The sequence below is a fragment of the Homo sapiens genome, chromosome 18 (assembly GCF_000001405.40).
Source record: "Homo sapiens chromosome 18, GRCh38.p14 Primary Assembly".
NCBI classification, from domain to species: Eukaryota; Metazoa; Chordata; class Mammalia; order Primates; family Hominidae; genus Homo; species Homo sapiens.
Window position 1 is genome coordinate 46,801,291 of NC_000018.10, and position 18,267 is coordinate 46,819,557.

General features: G+C 36.9%; 1 protein-coding gene across 24 annotated transcripts in view; it reads right to left on the reverse strand.

Annotated features, from left to right (window-relative positions):
• PIAS2 (protein inhibitor of activated STAT 2) overlaps positions 1,928–18,267 on the reverse strand; it is a 116,928-nt gene continuing 100,588 nt past the window's right edge. For 9 of the 24 annotated variants that reach the window (NR_136685.2, NR_148699.2, XM_006722573.3 and 6 more), the window contains one exon: positions 14,421–17,157. Coding sequence is in view for 17 of the 24 variants with exons in the window: in XM_006722573.3 (XP_006722636.1) it covers positions 17,087–17,157 (71 nt within the window). In the remaining 7 variants the exon portion in view is untranslated. Of the gene's footprint in view, positions 11,326–14,021; positions 14,060–14,420; positions 17,158–18,267 lie in introns of those variants that run through there. The other 15 variants (NR_136684.2, NM_004671.5, NM_001354036.2 and 12 more) reach the window with 5 other exon arrangements.

Genomic DNA, 18,267 nt, shown 5'->3' on the forward strand with positions numbered 1-18,267 from the left:
CTTATAAGAAAGTAACTTCAAATATAATGGCATAGTTAAGTTGTAAGTAAAAACTGTTCTAGACACTCGATTAGCAAAACAAAAAATCTTGGCCCTCACGGAACTTACATTCTAGTGGAATATTAATAGTTGAGCATATCAAGGAGTGTAGGTCAAGTGGCTGGGGGAAATGCCACTGACTGGCAAGATTACACCTACATTTCCAGGGCAGAGAGAAGAAAATGAGTTCCCAAAGACAGAAAAAGACATGTTGGCACAATAGCCAAGAAATGGAAGAGACTGTGTCAACTGCAGATGTTGAAACTAGTAAAAATCAAGTCCAAGAGACTTGGCAATTAGGAGTACATTTGACTTCAACAAAAATAATTCCAGGAGTGTGATGGCAGCTGAGATTCTAGCATGTAAACTACTTGCCAGCGACTTTAGGAGATTACCTGAGCCACTCTGTTGCGCCAATGTGACAAAACCCACCCTGAATAAATCCAACCTTTGACTGCTTCCACAACTATGGCTTCGACAATGGGCATTACTGAAGAAAGCACTGCCATTTAGCTATCACTGTAAGTCTACGGTGTCCAACTCACCGCTAGTCCATTCTCTAATTCTCCAGGATTGCTATTTCAAACTAGCTGTTATACTCATACATCATCCTTACCTCCTCCTTGCTTCTGGAACCAATAACATCAATCATATGGTTCTCAAAGACATGAAAGCCAAACCACTAAGTAACTCTTTTAACTCTCTGCTGTTCAAATGACACACATGCCTATGTCCACAACCATCCCTTCATCTGCCTTTGATCTGGATCCCAACTTCCTCCTCCTGTTCAGGAACCTTGGTGTACCAATGATCTTAGTCAACCCCTCCTGAACCTCCCGCATTTTTACCTCTACTGATTCCATCTCACTATCCTATTAGCAGTTAAACATGAAATTCAAGTTTCTTCCACTAAAAAAAAAACACAACAACATCAACAAAACACGCCAGGCACAGTGGCTCACACCTGTAATCCTAGCACTTTGGGAGGCCAAGGCAGGCGGATCACCTGAAGTCAGGAGTTCAAGACCAGCCTGGCCAACATGGTGAAACTCCTTCTCTACTAAAAACACAGAATTTAGCTGGGTGTGGTGATGCGTGCCTGTAATCCCAGCTACTTGGAAGGCTGAGGCAGAAGAATTGCTTGAACCCAGGAGGTGGAGGTTGCAGAGAGCCGAGATCAGACCACTGCATTCCAGTCTGGGCAACAGAGAGGCTCCGCATTAAAAAAAAAAAAAAAAATCCTTCAACCACATATAATTCTATTGCTGTAGCTCTGCCCTTCGTTAACAGTTTTTAAACAGTTGCCCATACGTGCTACTGCATTTCTTTACTTTGGGGTCCTCTCCCACCACAAACTAGGTAGACCCTGATCACTCCACTGAAATTGTTCTTGATGAAATTACGATACGGCCTGGTTAAGAAAGCCAAAGGGGGCCGGGCGCGGTGGCTCACGCCTGTAATCCCAGCACTTTGGGAGGCCGAGGCGGGCGGATCACGAGGTCAGGAGATCGAGACCATCCCGGCTAAAAAACGGTGAAACCCCGTCTCTACTAAAAATACAAAAAATTAGCCGGGCGTAGTGGCGGGCGCCTGTAGTCCCAGCTACTTGGGAGGCTGAGGCAGGAGAATGGCGTGAACCCGGGAGGCGGAGCTTGCAGTGAGCCGAGATCCCGCCACTGCACTCCAGCCTGGGCGACAGAGCGAGACTCCGTCTCAAAAAAAAAAAAAAAAAAAAAAAAAAAAAAAAAAAAAAAAAAAAAAAAAAAAAAGAAAGCCAAAGGAAGACAAAAATTATAATTCCTCATTTATAAGATTCATATTCCTCCCTCTCCTACATTTTAATAGGATACATATTGAAGTATTTTCATTGACCAATGAAAGCAATGGGTCATAGTTTAATTAGCAGGTTTAATTTTTCTTTAATGTCTTACAATCAGGTACTTAGATTCAATAAAATATGGTGGTATTTTAAATGAAAGTTTTTTAAAAAATGGATACTTACTTTTTTAGGTTGTATCAGCAGCTTTTAACTCCACTAACCACTTGCTTCTTGAAATACTCTATTTTTTGGCCTCTGTAATACCACGTTATTTTCCTTCAGTCTCAGCTGCTGCTTCTTGATTTCCTTGTGTTCCTTTTCCAGTCTTCTTTTCTCACTCATCAACTCCTCTGGATGAGTTCATCCACTTTCATAGTTTCAGTGCTACTACCCATCAATTGGTAGGATATGTCTATAGCTTGTCAAATAGCAGGTGGGCATGTCTTTCAGACATCAGGTCAACTGATTTTTGTTCCAGTTCCAAAGTATTGAGTCTAATAATGATTTGGGTCAGGTGGCTAGCCATCACAGTGAGGATAAATTATGTTTACAATTATATTGTAGCACTCTGTGTAGTGTACCTGACCCAGATAAGGTGGTCCTCAGTACATAACCTAGAGTAGATCATATGAAGAATTTCTCCAGCCTTTTATACACAGTAGGGTGGGTCTACAAGGAGTTGCTTACACTTCCAGGTTTAATACACCTACTCCCATATTATCCCCACTGTGCACTGCTCTACCCACCCCTCATTAATGGCCCTTGCCCCTGTAAGTTTTGGAGTTCAGAAGGTGAGTATGCTGCCTTTCAACACCTCAGCATCCATCTCCCGTACCACCTACCCTAAACATGCACCTCCTTCTGTTTTCCTCTCTTGGTGAATGCTTACTGCTGAGGTATTATATATTCCAAAGGTATTGAATTTCCAGTCAGCATAAGTCAAATGCAAATGGTTATCCACCATTTCTTCATCCACCAATATTTACTGGGCACCTTCTATGTAGCCCATATCATGTTAGGCTCTGGGATGCAAGTGAAAAAAGTTATCACCTCTGCCCTCATGGAGCTTACAATCTAGTAGGGGAAACACACAATATGCAGGGATTATTTTATGTATTAAGAGTATATAAACCAGGGTACTGGGATAATAGTTAGGGAACACTTGCTTTTTAGATAGAATGATCAAGAAAGGCCTCTGAGAAAGTAGTTAAAACTGGATTTGAAACCTGACTCCTCAATTACAAGCTGCATGACCCTGGGCAAGTAAGTCGCTTATCCTGTCAGAATCTGTTTCCACATTTGTAATATGGAGATAATCATGCCAAACTCAACAAATTCTCATTACTACTAATGATCATGAAAACTCTTCAATGTCTCATCACTGTTTTACAAGGCCCTTCACGATCTATCTATGCATATTTCTCAATATTCCTTAGCAAACTTCCAGCAATTCTAAACATTTCTGGCCCTTTTTGGACAAGCTTTTCATCAATCCTCACATTTCTCCACATTACTTCTATTAAATCATTGAGGTGCCTCATTTACATGCTCTTGTAGCACCCTATACTTTGTCTTTTACCATTAACATTGTAATCTCCCTATTTCACACCTCTGTTGACGCTATTGGAGCACAACTTTGGTGGGGGCAGGATCCTGCCTTGTGTTCCAAGTGCCTGATACAATGCCTGGCACCTAATATAATCTCAAATACTGGATGACTGAGACCATTTGTAAGCCAAGAAAAGCAGCAGTAGAGAGGTGAGAGACATGGAGATAAGAGAGGGGAAGTCTGACAGAGGAAGGTCCTGAAGATGACAGGAGGAGACCAGAGTCAGTTGGCCTTAAAGGCCTACCTCATTCTCTGAAACTGGAAACAAAAAAGGATGGAGGTGGTCATAGGTGGGGAAGAAATCATGCTTTCGGACTGTCCCTTCTGTTTGAATTAAGCAGCAAAGTCATCTTCTGAGAAGGAAGTGGCCTGAAAAGAGGGCAATAACATTTGTTATAACTGATGAGAATGGGCAAAGGAACTATGCTACGTCATGTCGGAGGATGGATAGGTTACTGAGGATTTCTTCAAGGCTGCAATAATGAAAGAACAGTCTGGACAAGTAGCAAAGAGGAAAACAGAAAGCGTGGTTCAGTAGACGAAAATGCTGGAGGTAAAGTAACCAATACCTCACAGACCAACTTGGATAAATCATCTATAGAATGTTCAAGATATTAATAATAATGACCAGAATCAAGGAAGGCAAGGAACACTGTGAGTCAAAGCTTCCAGCAAATCAAAGGGAATGATCAGGCAGTTATAAGACTAGAGGTAGCTGATAGTATAACCTCTTGGCATGAGCTTCAGAGGCAGAGATTTTTTAGAGACGTGTAACGATGCAGTAGGGGGGAAGGACAGCAACCACTGTATCTTGAGATATGTAGAATGTGAACACAGCCCACGCTGGTGTGAGCTGTAGGGTATGGCAGGGCCTCAGGTGGCAGCCAAATTTGTAATGGGCAAGGCAGTGAAGAGAAAAATCAAAAGAAAAGGCTAAGATGTAGCCAAGTATGGCCTAGGAAGGGATCAGTGACTGGGGCGTGACTAGAACATAATACAGAATGGAGATAAGTGAAGGCAAAAATGGATGACAAGGGAGGTTTGTACTTTTATTTAAAAGACTGCAGAAAAACCAGGAATGAGCCTCATGGATGCTTCATTTCTGAAATCCCATGCTTAACATTCATCACTGTCTCCCATACATGATTCGTCTTCACTCTAAACTGCCTCCTGTCTCTGTAGATAGTGCCATTAACATCCAAGTTACCCAGGCTTGAAAAATGGATGAAAAATGCACTCAACCCTTACTCCTATATTCAGTCACTGAATCTTGAGTCTTCCTTTGAAATGGCTTCAGCATCCACTCCTTCCTTATTACTCTGGCCATCATCTGAAACCAGTTCTCATAATTTTAAGTCTAGATTCCCATATCAGTCTCCTAGATAGCACAGCTAATTAACGTCACTTCAGTTTACGCAGAGAGCTTTTGGGGTAAGTCTAGGTCAGACTCCCAAGTCCACTACTCATTCACTGTGACCTTGGGAAACTTACCTAAACCTGTTTCATTTGTAAAATGGGGAATAACACCACTTTCCTCTGAGAAGCCATTGCAAGAATGAGACATTCTTGGAAAATTCTTTGCACAATGCCTGTTACTTTTTTTTTTTTTTTTTTTTTTTTTTTTTGGTCTCACTCTGTCACCCAGGCTGGAGTACAGGGTCATGATCCTGAGTCACTGCAACCTCCGCCTCTCAGGTTCAAGCAATTCTCATCCCTCAGCCTCCCAAGTAGCTGGGATTACAGACATGAGCCATCATGCCCTAATTTTTTGTATTTTTAGTAGAGATGGGGTTTTACCAAGTTGGCCAGGCTGGTCTCAAACTCCTGGCCTCAAGTGATTTGCCTGCCTTGGCTTCCCAAAGTGCTGGGATTACAGGCATGAGCCACCATGCCCAGCTTAAGAATTCTTGATTTTTGGAACCTTGATTATAAGCTGCCTGATGTCTGGAACCAAAACTTCTGTAACACTCTATTCCACGTGTACTTACAAAACACTCTAAACATTTATTAAACAGTTTGATGAAGGCCAAAATAAGAGGCATATGCTATTCTACAACACGGTAACACTCTTCGTCACTTAAAATAATTAAGCTTTGAGAACACAAAATAAAGCTTTTTAAAAAAGCCATTCAGAAATAGGAAGCAGTTTGGGAAATGATTGTGCTACGCCAATCAAGAAAATGTTGTACCTCAAACATCTGAAGGTAGCAATCTGTTTTTTTCTTTCCCTGCAGCTACCCTTATTGGAAACATAAGGGAATATAAAGTGAAAACAGGCAATGTTTGCCTGTTTTTATAGCTTTTAGCCTTACCACTTTTCAGTTTGGGGATGGAATGCCTTTGGCTCAGTAGATTCTACTGGCTTTGGGGAGCTCAGAAAGGCCATAATGGGGCCTACAGGAAGAGGAAAAAGAGAGCTGACCTCTTAAGGGCAGGCCTTAGGTACAAGAGGCTTTTTTTAAAAAGTGACAAAACTTTTGAACTAAAGATGGAAAACGTAGTCTGACAAAGAATATTTGTGCAACTTTACAGTGCCAGTAAAATCATGGGAAAAGCTTGGATAGCCATACGTAGGTGTTTCTGAAACATGTCAGATTTTATATATATATATATATATATATATATATTTTTTTTTTTTTTTTTTTTTTTTTTTAGAGAGTCTTGCTTTGTTACCCAGGCTGGAGTGCAGTGGCACAATCTCGGATCACTGCAAATCCTCCGCCTCCTGGGTTCAAGCGATTCTCCTGCCTCGGTCTCCCAAGTAGCTGGGACTACAGGCGCCTGCCATCACACCCACCTAATTTATGTTTTTGCTAGAGATGGGGTTTCACCATGTTCCATGTTAGCCAGGCTGGTCTCCAACTCCTGACTTCAGATTATCTGCCCGCCTTGGCCTCCCAAAGTGCTGGGATTACAGGCGTGAGCCTCCATACCCGGCCCATGTCAGATATATTTAAAACTAAGAAAGCTTGGGAAAATCTCTGCCAATGATCTCCATATCAGTTAACCCCGTTCCATAGAGTCAGAAAGGCAGAGGGTCTTAGTGCAGATGCCTGCATAAAGATAAAACGTTGCATGTTCTTGGAAAATATGGCTAGACCACCCTTCCCATACCATCTAGCTGCAGTATAAATTAACATACCCATGTGGAAAAGTGGTATGAATCAAGAACTACAAAAGTGTTCATATACCCTTGACTAGAAATTCCACCTCCAGTATTTTATCCTAAGAAAATAATTTATACACAAAGACATTCATTGTGGCATTATGAGATATAATCTAAACTGTTCAAAATAAGTAAAGGTTATATGAAACATGGCACATCCATAACAATGGAGTACCATAAAATTAATAATAGTTGACACAGTTTTAATGACATGGAATAATGCCTGTAGGTTGCGGGGAAAAACCCCAAGATATAAATTACACTGAGAATGATGAAACTAAGTAAAAATATGCAGAAGTAGCAAAGACAATGGCAAGGAAGATGCAAAAATATCAAGTGATTTTTTCTGGTGACAGAATCATAGGCAATTAATTGTTATACTTTTCTGTATTGTCTAAATTTTCCACAATAAGCATGTACTACTGACATAAACAGAAAAAACAAACATTATTCAACCAGGCAAGCATTAAAGAATGGACATTGGGTACAGCTTTATTTATTTCTTTTAGGAATTGCAGGTTCCTAACAAAGTAGGGGTGAGGGGGGTGTTACAAACCAGTCACTAGGCAGGAACATTAGACTCCAAAAGCAGAGAAATGCTTAATTTTCTTCTACCTGTTTCACCACATTCATGTAGAACTGTAGTAAAAAAGATGGTGAATCAGGCTGAATCAATCTAAATAACAACTTAAGGCTCCCAAATCACATGAACCTAGGACCACTAAATCCAATGTCAGACGTGTTTAAATGGTGCACTGCTCTACATTTTTCTATTATGCAAAGAGCTAGAAAATAATGGTAGTGTCATTATGACATTCCATGAAAATGAAGAAAATCTTTCAGGAAAAATTAAGAAAATAAAAATGTTTACTAAAGAAAGAATGGTCCGGCTAAGTGCTTTTTTTTTTTTTTTTTTTTTTAAACCAACTGAAGGCCAGAGAAATGAAAGGCATACCCGTGAATTAAATTAATGCTTTAAAAAAAATTGACTTTACTTAAAATACAAACAAACGTCAACTAATGAATACTTTATTGGCAGAAAAAAAAGACAACTTGGCTGGAAATGCTGAGTGTCTTGGACTGGTCTGAAGGAAGAACATCTGAAAGGTCTGAATGTCAAAGTCAGAACAGTCTCTGGTCAATCCTACTTTGCTTAAAATCCAACATTTTACCTTTCTTCAAATTCCTCAAGACTAAGGAAAACTTGGTTTTATACCAAGAATTATGAATCAACCTACACTTGCTATCCCTTACATCACATTTTCATTCTAGCTTTTCTGAAACACATTACCAGATAAATGCCATATAACCTAAATTCACCTCAATGCTTTCATTTTGCCTTTACAATTACCTTAGGACAGATGCCAAGTTTTTATAACTTCAGGCCAGAAAATCCTCAAGTGGCTCACCTAATTGTCAGAAAGTGAGTGAGTGACAACAGACCTCAGGCACGAAACTATTTTCAGCACCAATTACACTGTGGGGGGTTACCAGAACAAGAAAAGGCCTTCATAGTTCTAAGTGAAGAAAGATAAAAACATTTTATTTTGGCCAGGCGCGGTGGCTCACGCCTGTAAATCCCAGCACTTTGGGAGGCCAAGGCAGGCGGATCACCTGAGGTCGGGAGTTCGAGACCAGCCTGACCAAAATGGAGAAACCCCGTATCTACTAAAAATACAAAATTAGCTGGGCGTGGTGATACATGCCTGTAATCCCAGCTACTCGGGAGGCTGAGGCAGGAGAATCGCTTGAACCCTGTAGGTGGAGGTTGCGGTGAGCCAAGATCGCACCATTGCACTCCATCCCGGGCAACAAGAGCAAGACTCAGCCTCAAAAAAAAAAAAAAAAAAATTGATTTTAGGAGGCTGACAATTACAGTTCATTTCCTAAGATATTCCAGACAATCACTGGTTGGCTGACAGAATCTAGGTGACAGCTAAGATCACCCCTCTGAAACTCCCTTATATTTGGTTAAGCAGAAATCTGGGCTAGCAAAATAAACTACTAGAAAGTCAGGGTCTGGATAAGAAACAGTGACCACATTAAAGGCTGACGGATTAATAATCATGATGTTGCCATAAGGCCAAAGTCATAAAGTACTAATGCTCAAGACAGATAAACAACGTAAGCCCCAATTTCAAGATGATAAACTTCAAAGTGTATTTTTTAAAATGCAAGTTGCCTGTATGAAATAAATTAAAAATTTATATGTAATTTCAGTGTAAAACACCAAAACCGAACATTAAAACTGTTCACAGAAAATAGAAAAAAAAACAAAAAAACAAATCACAATTATAAAAGCACAGAGATATCAGTTATAAGAACCAAGTAAATAAACTAATTTCTATTAATATTTTCATTTACTTTATAAAACTTTGTTGATTAAATTGGGGGAGTCTCTGACAATCTAAAGGGTAACAAAATAACAAATATACATCATTTCTTTATAAGTCATACCACACAAACCAAGTTAAGTTTTTTCTATCTGATTACAGAGTCAATAAATATTGCATCTGTATTTAGAGCAGCAACATAAAACTTTATTAGAAAGAAATACTATATCTGGACCAAAAAACTGCAACATGGTTTGGAAATCTAATGACTAAGAAGGTAAAACTGGCAACTATGTGCAACTACTGCTCGTAGATTTGGGTTTGTTTCCCCCCCAACATCTTTAAAATAAGCAGCCCCCACAAAGGGATAATCCATTGAATAAGGAGACAATGTAGCCAAAGAAGGGATTTGTGGAAAACCATATGAATTTAAATCAACATAAAAAGAACACACAAAGGCCATGGAAACTTGAGAAGGTGAAAGAAAAAAAAAAAAAACCCCAAGCAAGGACAAGTCAGCTCCTTGGAGCTGCACCAACTCTTAAGTAGGATGTCCCTATTCTAACGGAAATTGATGAGTCCACACCTGGGCACTTCAGTTTGAGAAATCAATTGGTTGGACTGGCCATTAAAAAAAGGACTTTGTTTTTAAGGTAGATAAAGCTTAGAGAGAGAAAGCTAAACAGAAAAGTACCAAATCCTTGTGAACTCAAAAATGATTTAGGAAGTCAAATGAAGCAAACTAAAAAACTGGATGAAAATGTTTCTCTAAGAGTAAAACCCAGTTTTCTCTGTGATTTAAAATCAAACAAACACACTATAGAAGAGAAATTTTCAAAGTGCACCCAATAAAACCTCAGAGGTTCCCTGGAGTGTTTGGGGTAGCATGGATTGAGACAGGAAGTGGGTTCAGGCCCATCTCCCCCAACCCTTCTTCACTTTAATTCAAACATTTCTAATTCTCTTTTGTCGTTTGTAGTTTCAGGTAAGATATCATTTTAAAAAAATGAAAAAAAAAAAAAATCTAATGCTGTCCCTTTCCCTAAGTTTGAAAATCACTGCTGAGACTGAAATTACATTGGTGAGAAATATGATCATCATAAATCTAAAACACATTTTCTATGTAGTGCTACCAAAATACAAAGTTTCATCAAATATTTCACTACTATTCTGTAAAATAAATGAGAAAATTAAGTTGTTGGGAAGAAATTAAATTTTGTTATTACCACCTCCCAAAATCTGCTCTTCTGCTGGCTCCAAGATATCAATATTTGATAGTGTGAACAAATTTCTAACAAACATTCCAGTCACACCGTACCCCAAAGACATTTCATTCAATGGCTGCATAGTTTCTTTTTTGAGAAGGCAAGCCTCAAATTTATAGAAAACTCTAGAATGAAAAATGTACAATTACTAAAAACATAATAACACACTTTATGTCAGGGCAGAATCTGCATAGTGCTTTTAAACATAATCACCAATGAAGAGTAGCCAAATCCCAGAACTTCACACAGCACTCATTAGCAAACAACGTCAAAGTGTAAATGATAAGCAGGAAAAAAACCAAGTAACACGAATGCCATTTTTCTTTGATGCAATCACGAAGAAAAGTGGAAATGCAGGACGAAAAGTGGAATCCAAGCTTTGGCCACGTACTGAAACTTCATTACTTCAATGAAACAGAGCAAATCTCCATGGAAAGGACTCATTCAGCAAACATTAAGTTCTTTCCATATATTTTTTTTCCTTCACGTAAGGTTAAACAGAAGTTGCTGTCATTCTAGAATCAGTGATTACAATTTTTTTTTTAATTAGAAAAAAGGTTACTTGAATATTTACATAATTTTATTGCTCTTTATTTTAACAAAAACTTTTTTCACTGATTTGTAGACTCCATCCATTAACGTATGAAAGTGAAATCCATCTCTCAGGAAGATACAGTTATGGTTGAATGTATCTGATGCTGAGAGTACAGCATAATTAAGAAAAATCCTTGCATGTCATTTGGTTCTTGTTGCAGTCTTCTGTGTTCACCCCTCAGAAAGCAAAAGAATCCATCTGACTTTCAATAAATACCAAATTATTAAAAAAAAAAAAAAAAGAACGTTTCCACAGACTAGAGATCCAAGAAAAAGCAGTTCTGATGAATGATTCCCAGAATCAAGTGAGTCCTCCTTTAGTCCAATGAGATGATGTCAGGAATGTTACTTCCACTGCTGGTTATGACCCCTGTCTCACTCCTGCTGCTGGATGAACTAACATGAGTACTGCTTTCATGGGAGCTGGTGGTGGTGACAGACGTACTGCTTGCTGTTAAGGGTGAGGTGAGACTATCCAAAAACATAGGAGGACAGTACTGCTTGAAACAAACAATGATGCCAATGAGGAAGAGGCTACTTGATTTTAAATAAAGAGACTAGAAATTATTAGATATGCACAAGCAATAGTCACATATTTAAATCCCAGTGGGATTTAAAAATTGCTCAAAACTTCACATCTTTGGGTGGAAGATAGCATGAATTTAGCTATTTTACATTATTTAGAGAATGCAGCATATATTCTTGATTCTCTCTAAACTTGTGGAACTTGTTTGCTGACCACATACAAAGGTAAAAGTACAATGTCAACAATAACTGAAGTCATTTAATACTAAATATTGGCCCTAATCTCAAAAAGAATTTGCTCCCTAACTGTATTTAGTTGGGTGTCAATTTTGAAAGAATTGTTGATCTTACACCAGCATTTTTGCTTAATAACATTTTTAAAAGTATTTGTTAGCCTTTCCCGGTATGGATTGAGTATCAAACAGATCCTTTATGAATGTTAAGGCTGACCAGCTGAATGATGGCATTGGACTCCTTTGTACATAAACGTAAAATACTTGTGTCATCAGAATGACAACATTCATTCTAAAACACAGACTACACGGTAGCTAGCTATCACAGGATCCTCAGGACAGAAAATTATCTCAGGTAATCACCAAGTTTTGCAATAAATGTTAAAGAAGATCTAACCTAATCTTCTCGTGATGCCTGCTTAACACCCCTTTCCTAGTGCTCATATTTCACAAGTCCCCTTACAATCCTGGTTACTGATCCCATTACTGATCCCAAACAAGTACAAACCTGAATGTACTACTCTAATATTAACAGAGGAGTGAAGAGAGACAAGCCAAAAGCATTATATCAGTATAGAATATTTTTATGTGAGAAACGACTGCACTGACTTTAGTAAAACAAGAGGTCTAGTGATATCCTGCAAGAGATGGTTTAAGTTTGTCATTAGTTCAACTGTATGAAAGATCAGTAAGGATATCTGATTCATATTCCCCATTCTAAAGATTATGCAGCTTATCATTAGAGACACTGGATTATGGAACAGGAATTTAAGTCAAGTTGTTTAGACTACATGATTTCCAAGGCCGGTGAATAAAACAGGAACAACAGTCCCAGGTTTAAGTTGCCAGCCAGAGGGACAGCAACAAGTAAAATTCAGACTGCTCTTCAAAAGAACAAGTTATTTAATGCTTTGGATAGATAACTGTTTTGGTTCATCAATAAAATGAATGCCACATACAGAGTCAAGGGACATTAGTTACAGGGAGAACAGTTCTTAAAGAGCTTCCAAGGAGCTCTAAAGATGGTTGAATTGTCCAGTATTAAAACTCTTTTCTAAAATCAAATCAATTTCTAACTTTCCACTAAAACTGGGGGGTAAATCTAGAACAAAGCCCAGAAACTTACATTTTATTCCTGCTGCCTCTCAGGTAGTTTTTGATTGCCTTATAGGAAAAAGATACTCATTCATGAAAGTTGTGCTAGATGCTACAGTGCTGCCATCAACAGGCTCTGTGCGTTGAATTCTTAGTAGTATTCAGATTGCAGCCACTTAAGTTCTAACCCTGCATCCCTAATTGTAGCTACAATGACAAGAATTAAGGGATAATATGGAGGTCAAGTAGTAAAACCTAAGGATTCTATGGCAAACTGAAGGCCCCACATCACCCTTCTACTACTGACTCACCAAATAACTTAGACCACTACTAAATATACAAAACAGAGCTATGAAATAAAAACCTCTAGGTTCCAAGATAATTTTTTTTAAAAGAACTGGTCACATAAAAATTAGTAATCCTCACATCTGAAGAATCCATTTCCTAGAAAAATACATAGACACTTTCACTAGGTACCTTCGTTATATATACTGCTGTAATGAGGTCAACTCCGAATGATAAGAAATTCCTCAGTCTGCACATTACCTTGGGCCCAAATTTCTGCTGCTGTTCATGTAATCAGATACAGAGTACTGAAACAGGAGGCTGATACAGGACTTGTGCTTAGCTGACTGAGCAGCCCATGAAGCAGTGACCCGTGGTTCTTCCTCTATCCCTCCCTATACTCAACTCCTCTCAAAGTCTTTTGTTCTATGTCATTTTCTCCCTTCACTTTTCTCATGCCTTCTCCTCCTCTGCTCTGCCTCTGCTATAAGCCTGTCTGTGCAATCCAGGCTCACTGCAAGGTCTTCATGTTGGGACACCGAGCTACTAGGGTTTCTCATCTTTGACAGAGAAAACGGGGATGATTGACATATAGCAACTTTAAACTGGGGCCTCCCCAAAGTCCAAATCTGAATGTCTTTAAAAACAATGAAGAATCAAGTTAATGAGTCAAGTCTGTCTAATCAGGTTTAGCTATTGATTTTCTATATACAGAATGTTTTAGCTAAAAAATAAAACTGTATTTGTAAAATTTTAACTTCTAGCCACCCAGCACTGCTTCTATTCATTCTAATCATTCAAATGCTTGTAGGAGATGCCAACTGATTAAGCTAAATAAAACAGAATTTAAAATTTAGATATTAAAGACAAAAATCATAAACTGAAAACAACTTTATTCCTTCAAATAAAATTGTGAAATATTTGCACAGTACTTCCTTTCCATCAATGTAAGTAATTCAGAGATGACTGTCCTGATTTTATGCAACTGGTCATTTTTAGTTAGTATGACATAACCAACAATCAAATACAAATTAGTTGCTTAAATTCAGGATACATACCTGGGGATCAACTGGAATAAGGGAAAGAAAATCCAAACCTAAAACAAAAATGCTTTGTTAATAGTTGTCTCATATTTTGGGAGACCAGAATTATTTCCCTAAATCATCTTTATCACAAATCACAAAACATTTGTGGTAAGTGCTTACCACTCTGTCACAGAGAAGTTCTATACCATGATCAGTGATATTTGAAGTGTTTAAAACCCAAAGATGAATATATTCTCTGATAAAACAACTGGAAAAACTAGCTCCCAGAGACTCAAATGCAGAAGTCCAAAACTTTCCAGTGAAGGACTAGTCAAAACAAATATTTCCCCCTTTGCCGCTTAACAGAATGAGAAGCAATAAAAATGATGAGCTAATGATCTGGATTTGAACCATCTAAAAAAAAAAACATACTTAAGCTCTTAAGATATTTCACATTTATTTTTCAGAAATACAGAGGTTCATCTAAGTATCGCTTCTTAAACAGATGTCTATTTCAATGACAGCTCTCTGTCCCCGCTGTCCCCACATCAAGAGCAGTACATAGTCCAACGCTCTGCACAAAGCACACACTCGGGAATTGCTGCGCTAACAGGGTTATCAAGGGTTACTGGGTTCTGAGCTAATGTAATTTTCTGAACCAGAGAACTGTAATTGTCCAATTCGATTTTAGAAAGAGGAATGTGTAAAAGGTTGTCCAGTAATATACTTTTGACATATTCAAGTAATAACAATAAATAAAATTTTTAGGTCTGAAAAGTCTAGTAATAAACTTCAACATCAGTTCACCTAGACCTCCCTGTGTGACTAAACTCTCTTTAATTATTTCAAAACATTAAAAAAGAAACCATAGGTCATTAAGACAGGCCAATTTCTATTCAATTCCGTGAATTTTTATGCTGGCATTCAGAGACACCCCGAATATAACCACCACACAGAGAAAGTCTGACATTATGCTTTTATGCAAAATAGAGAATATCAGTGGGTACATTTAAAATATCTACTAACCAGTATGAATTTATAACTCAAAAAATTTAAGTATATTTATTCTCTTATAATCTCCAAATAAGGGTATTACAAAAATGCTTATCAAGTGATACAAGCTATAGCACCAATCATTTGAAAGAAATCATTCCAACGATTTCTAAAGCCTTTTTGAAAATTGTTGCTACAGATTTTTTTTTTTTCCTTTTTTTGGGAGACACTGAGTCTGCTCTGTTGCCCAGGCTGGAGTGCAGAGGCACAATCATAGGTAACTGTAGCCTTTACCTTCTGGCCTCAGCTTCGCAAGAAGCAGGAGCTACAGGTGTGTGTCACTATGCCCAGCTAATTATTATTATTATTTTTTTTTTGTAGAGAGAGGGTCTCGCTATGTTGCCTAGGTTGGTTTTGAACTCCAGAGCTCAAGTGATCCTCCCGCCTCAGCCTCCCAAAGTGCTGGGATTACAGACATAAGCCACCGCACCCAGCTTGCTGTAATTTTTCATTTCATATGTCTGTCACTAGCTATATGACACAGTGGTTTGAGCCAATACTAAACCAAAGAGAATTACAACAAACTTTTCCAATGACTTCTCTATTAAAATGATAATAGGTGAGATATCTCAATAAGCAGATTTTGTCTTCATATTAATAATATTCAATAAATCCTCTCCCTTCTTATGCCAAACAATTCAAAATTTGTCTAGCCCTTGTAATACCTTCAGAGTTTTGCATTTTCAATATTTCTATTATTAAGTAAAAAAAGTTTATTGGAACATTTTGTTCTGCTTCAAATGGTATAACCGTTTTCTTTTTACAGTAACTTCTTATCTTTTCAGTTTTTCAGTTTTCTTCATTTTTACAATAGCTTCTACCTTTTTATAGTTTTTCAGTTTCATATGTTCAATCATCTTTAATATTTGCTGTATCTCTCAGTTCATGTTAGTAACTGAAACCTTTTTATAACGCTAAGTATTGACAATGGTGTTGGAATATTGTGTACTGAAGCCAAGCCACTCAAAAATGCTCATTTTCTAAATGTTCAACTATTTCAATTTCAGAATTTCAATTAAAATACGCAAGCTTGATATAAAACAGTTTGAAAATTATATCAAGCCTATTTATTTTAATTGAAATTAAAAATTGAAGCTCTATCACCAGAGAATACCCACTGAGGATCCTATTTTTGTTATTTCAATTCCAGTTCTTCAGATGTACTGTAATTCTCTTTGATGATTTCATGTGTGTGGTAAATATAAAGTTTATTTAGAAAACAATTAAGAGATTTACTTATCTGTATATTGATACCTCATCCACGGAAAATTGAATGTGGTGACTTATACAACACCATAATAAAATACCTAGAAATTTTTCTAAAATATTGGTTGGAATTCTAGATTGTTTACCAAGCATTACAAGGGTGCTGTCTATATAAAACCTGTTTAATGTAAATATTTCTCTCACTGAAACCATTTTTTTCTCAAGTACTAACAGTGAAGTTTGATATGGTATTTTAGATGTTATTCTTTCTAACAAAAAACGAAACCATCAAAGTCTTCTTGCATTTTACATTTTAAGCAGAATATTAAAACTCTTATATAAAATCAAGTTTCATCAGTAGTGATTAAAATTTTACTGCCTTGTTTCGTAAGTTTAGCAAAATGCTGTTTCTTATTTCACCATAAGTTTCAACTGCAGCGTGTCATACTGATATATTTTTATGCCCTCCGAAGTATTTCATGGTTGAAAATGCTCAATTACTTTTAACTAAAAAGCAGGTAGTGTTAACATTATTTTATTAACACTGATAAAATTTTAATTTAAAAATTTTAAGTGCTTCACTGTGAAATTGACTCATTAGATTTTTTCTCATTGATGACAACACATTTTCCTTATTTGAGTCATAAACTTTTAACAAAACATAACTGCTACATGATTAAATATGTAAATGTTTAGCACTTTCAAATTTTAATGATACAACTTTTGAGCACCATTCGCACCTGACAATATGGCACTAGCAATAATAAGGCAGTCATATTTTTCCTTGAAATAAGCTGTTTTCCACTCCATAAATACAAATTATTTGTTTTATTTTGTATTCACTGTTGCACAGTATCAGAAGATGTTCCAAGCTTCAGTTCATTATTAATATCATTTCTTCTTTGTTCTCCTGCAGATTCAGAAGATTCATGTTTATGATGTTTAAAAGGAATGTTAAGAAATGTATTAAAACTTTGTTATCTCTCCATTCTTGGTGTTCTATTTAATATTTTATTATAAATTATTAAGTTTATCAATACCAAAACTCTTCACAGTATGACTAACTACATAAAAATTATGCATAAAAATAAAACCAAATTACTAATCACAAAAGAGCACATTAACAATAAAATCAAAGTAAAACTAAACTATTTAGATATAGTAACTGCTACATAATTCATACATGATGATAAACTAGCAATTCTTCTAAAGCAAAATAGATCCTATTCTATTCAGTTATCAACTGGTAAGAAAGCTTTTCAATAATAACAACCAGTATCACCATAACTGTTAATACTGGCTAAATATCAGCCTTGGATATTAGTCTTGTTTGCTCAATATCAGCTTGAAACACATTTTTACCAAATAGCCAGTTCAGACATATTTTACTGCATTTTTCTCAAGTTTGCACATTTCTAAAAAGAAATAAAGTCTCACTTTATGCCCAAATTCTGAAATAATGTAAATTTCCCCCAATTAAAAATTAATCCAGGTTCAGAGAACTGAAAAACTAACAGGGCAAGTGATTGGTAAATTGTGTCTATGCTACTGCTAAATGGTAGGATCACTTTAATGAACAGAAATGCTCATTACCTTTTTTCAGGATTAATTTTTAATTCAAGGTCTTTAGGAAACAAATCCTTTCAGAATGCTTGCTTATAACACATACTGAGATGACATGCAGACACTCTTCCAACAACCCATGTTACAGCCATAAAAGGCAGTTGGGAATTAAGAATCTCTGAATTTCCATCTTTGTCACCGACATGAATCCTCACCTGTACCTTGGCATTAGACTTTGTATATACTTTACAAATACTTTACAATTTGTGCTAGCTGGGTCTACAAAGAACTTCTTAAAATACCAACTCCCAAATTACATGTGGAGTAACTATATCTAAGAAGCAAAGAATAACTTTAAAAGCCATTTTTTTCTATGGATACTATAAAATGTCTATTCTTTTCCACTAAATTTTATTCACATAATCTAAACAAATTTCAAGTGGCAAAATTATACCGA